Source organism: Homo sapiens, chromosome X (genome assembly GCF_000001405.40).
Source record: "Homo sapiens chromosome X, GRCh38.p14 Primary Assembly".
Taxonomy (NCBI): Eukaryota; Metazoa; Chordata; class Mammalia; order Primates; family Hominidae; genus Homo; species Homo sapiens.
Window position 1 is genome coordinate 40,487,478 of NC_000023.11, and position 4,148 is coordinate 40,491,625.

Consider the following 4,148-nt stretch of genomic DNA (forward strand, 5'->3'; position numbering starts at 1 on the left):
TAAAACCATCAGATCTCGTGAGACTTATTCACTATCACCAGAATAGCAAGGGAAAGACCCGCCCTCATGATTCAATTACCTCCCACTGGGTCCCCCCCACGACACATGGGAATTATGGGAGCTATAATTCAAGATGAGACTTGGATAGGGACACAGCCAAGCCAAATCAGCTCCACTCCCAGCACTGTTCCTCCACTGTGTCTGGGGCACATAGGTTGGAAAAGGCTGACAAGGGACCAGAGGCTCCTAAAACACATTTAGTACCCATTTCCATATGGGAAGGGGAAATCAGCCTGAGGAAGACTTCAAGGTTTCCCCAAGGTAGAATGGGGAGAAGCTGTGGAAACAGATCATCATGGCTGCAGGCACAAGCTCAGGAGACAGATAGGTTTCGTTCAAATTCTGGCTCCACTCGTGGACCCACACTCCCATTATATGACATAGAGCATGTTACATTATGTTCTCTAAGTGTCAGTTTCCTATCATCTCTAAAGTTGGGACTCTAGTTTCCACCTGGCAGGGCTGTCATGGAGCTCGGCTTTGACAGAGCATATAAACTGGATAGGGGCCAGGGATGGTTGGCTTATGCCTGTAATCCCAGCGCTTTGGGAGGCCAAGAAAGGTGGATCACTTGAGGTCAAGAGTTCGAGACTAGCCTGGCCAACTTGGCAAAACCCTGTTGCTACTAAAAATACAAAACTTAGCTGGGTGTGGTGACACACGCCTGTAGTCCCAGCTACTTGGGAGGCTGAGGCATGAGAATTGCTTGAACCTGGGAGAGAGAGGTTGCAGTGAGCCAGGATGGCACCACTGCACTCTATCTAGCCTGGCCAACAGAGTGAGATTCCATCTCAATAAATAAATAAATAAATAAATAAAGTGGATAGGGCTGTACCCGGTGCTCAGACAGAACGTGATACATGCAAGGAATTACTGTTTGGTCCTGGGAGAGACTCAAGGTGGACAGAACCATTAAGTTGGAGCTTTAGTAGCTGTAGAGAGAGCAGCTTTTAAGCTGACTAAACAGTTTTTTAATTATTTACATCATATATGGATTTTTTTTTCTTTTTTTAGAGACAGAGTCTCATTCTGTCACCTAGGCTGGAGCGTAAAGGTGCAATCATAGCTCACTGAAACCTTGAACTCTTGAGCTAAAGCAATCCTCTTGCCTCAGCCTCCTGAGTAGCTGGGACTACAGGCATGCACCACAGTGCCCGGCTAATTTTTTTTTTTTTTTTTTTTTTTTTTTGGTAGAGATGAGGTCTCGCTATGTTGCACGGCCTGGGTATAGTTTTTTTTTTTTTAAAAATGCAAACACAGTAGAAGGGTTCAAGGTGAAAAGCACCTCTCCTCACTATCCCCCAGTCCTCTAGGCCCACACCCCTAGAATTTTTCCAAACATATGTATAATATCTATGTATTTTTAAAAAACTTTTCAGATACAGAAATGGGATCACTGCAGACGGTGTAGTGCTCCATTCATATCCCCTGGATCACCCCCACCCTCCTCCAGAGGCGCCTGCAGACATTTCACTCAAAGCCTACCTCTTCCTGTATCTCTCTCTGCAGGAGGATGCTCTCTGGCCAAGGAGCATGATCGCTTGCACTTGGGGCTGGCTGGAAATGCCGGGGAATGGATGCCCCTCAACCACTGAGGGGCAGGAGTTGGTGGATAAATATCCCAGCTTCCTTGTCTCTTGGCGACATGATTCTGAGGTTTGTTCTGCCCCATGGGATGGAGCCCCAGTTGCCCACAGTGGTAACCGGCTCATTTTTCCCAGCCTTATTGGCTTTCCTCCCTGTGCTGTCACTTCCCCACTCCCTCACTGTGCTTCCTGAATCACCTCCCAAATAATGACTTGCACTGAAATCCTTGTCTCAAGGTCTGCTTTGGGGGAAACCCAACTAAGATAGGGACAATACAGTCACACACTTCTCTGCGTCTTTTTTTCAGCTGGCAGTATGGCTCACAGATCTTTTCCTATCAGCACATATTGAAGGACTGTTTATTATAATCTGGGTGTGCCAAATTAACTTAGCCAGTCCTCTTCTGATGGGCATGTAGGTTGCTCTCAATTTTTTGCTCTTATGAACAAGGTGGTAATGGGCAGGCTTGTGCATGGATCTTGCTGCATATGGGCAAGTATATCAGAAGAGTACCTTTCTAGAAGAATTACTGGGTCAAAAGTTAAGAGAGGCCAGGTGCGGTGGCTCACACCTGTAATCCTAGCACTTCGGGAGGCCAAGGCGGGAGGATTGCTTGAGCTCGGGAGTTTGAGACCAGACTGAGTAACATAGTGAGATCCCATCCCTATTTTGACCAGGACCAAGGTGAAGGGCTCTGGAGCTCAGTGTGGAGGTGACCAAAGTAGAACAGAGGACAAGCCTGGGTGAGTGGCTCAAGCCAGGAGATCCTTTTTGCAGTGAGGGGCTGGCATACCTGAAAATCCTCTGAGATTCTCTCCAGAGGTCCCTGGACATTTTTGGGGGTGTGGGGGGATCTCTGTGTGCTCAGACTGACTATAGCAGAAGGACCTTACCCCCAGGTAGCTGTCTTCAAGAAGAGCTCCTCATGGGCCCATCCAACATGCTCGTGTCCTATTGCTATGTTTATGCCGTAGATGGTTGTTTTTCAAGCAAAAGTCCCCAGTTCGCAGATGAAAAACAACTTGTTTTGAGAGCACGCATTCCTGAGATCTTCAGGCTCTTCCTTTGGGCTGACTGTTGAGAAGAAATTAATTTTGAGGGTGGGAGGAATTGGTGAGGAGGTTGGGAACAGATCCATGGTGAGCGCAGGGAGTGTTTTCTCTAATTTGGTTTCTCTGCCCACTCATGAACGCTTACAGTGTTTACCTGATCATCAGTCTGCTCAGAAAACAAATTTTAAAAGCATACTTTTTTGTTCTCAAGTTATTTTCTGCTCACTGGCTGTCTACTGGATCTTGCCTTAAGATGCAGAGAAAGATGCCCCAGACCTTGCTCTGGGGGATTGAAATATCAGAGCAATGAGAAGAAAAGGTCTAGAAGCAGCAATGGCGACAACCACCCAGAAAGTCAATGTTACTGGCAGAGAGTAGGGAAGGGATTCTTCTTTCGCTGTCTTTCCTTTTTTTTCCTCTTTCTCTTGCTTTCCCTTTTTATCTTCTTTGTTTTCGCTTGTCATTGGGGGTGGGGAGCAGAGGCAGAAACGCCACATGTGTCCTCAGTAAAACTTTCCAGAAGGAGAGAGATCTGTGAAGTTTCAAAAGAGAAGAATGACCATTTTGTTGACTTTGTTTTCTGTGCAGGTGAGGTGTGGGTGCCACACCTACATACACATACCTACACACACACACACACACACACACACGCACGCACGCACGCACACAGAGCCCCAGTTTGAGATCTGAGCCCTGGTGGGATTCTCTGATGTCCACACCCCACCTGACTCAAACCCTAAGGCCCCCTTGGGTGTTATGATGATGGGGGGTTGCTCTGGGGAGAGGACTGCCCTCCCTGCCCTAGGGGAGGCCCCAGGTCTCACCTGCCCTTGGGCTGTACGGGAACAATCCCACTCTTAGAGGTGTGAGTTGTGGGATCTGGAGGGAGACTTGGGGAAAGGAGCTGGTCCTCCCAGGCACCCAGCAGAAGCAGGAAGTTGAATTTTTTTTTTTTTTGAGACAGAGTCTCACTCTGTCGCCCAGGCTGGAGTGCAGTGGTGCGATCTCAGCTCACTGCAACCTCCACCTCCCGGGTTCAAGCCATTCTCCTGCCTCAGCCTCCTGAGTAGCTGGGATTACAGGCATGCCCCACTACGCCCGGCTAATTTTTGTATTTTTAGTAGAGACGGGGTTTCACCATGTTGGTCAGGCTGGTCTCGAACTCCTGACCTCGTGATCTGCCCACCTCAGCCTCCCAAAGTGCTAGGATTACAGGCGTGAGCCACCACACCCAGCCGGAAGTCTAATTTTGACCTTGTTGCAAAAGGTGTGCAATTCAAGGGAAGGATGCAGTCAGAACGGGTTAGGAGAGGATAAGGCTGTCCAGAGTTCTTATTCATCCAGCACTTACCCCATGGCAGGCCCGTGTCATCAAACAGCCCCAAGTTCTCTTCTGCAATATCCAAATAAGGCCTTTGTGCCCATAGGATGTGTCTAAGGATTCTCAGA

General features: G+C 48.2%; 1 annotated feature.

Annotated features, from left to right (window-relative positions):
• Window positions 3,410-3,910: an enhancer, noted in NCBI's record as "H3K4me1 hESC enhancer chrX:40350139-40350639 (GRCh37/hg19 assembly coordinates)". NCBI's record gives its function as "activates a minimal SCP1, AML or CMV promoter by ChIP-STARR-seq in naive H9 embryonic stem cells {active_cell/tissue: H9 hESC(naive)}" and the evidence as "EXISTENCE:reporter gene assay evidence [ECO:0000049][PMID:30033119]".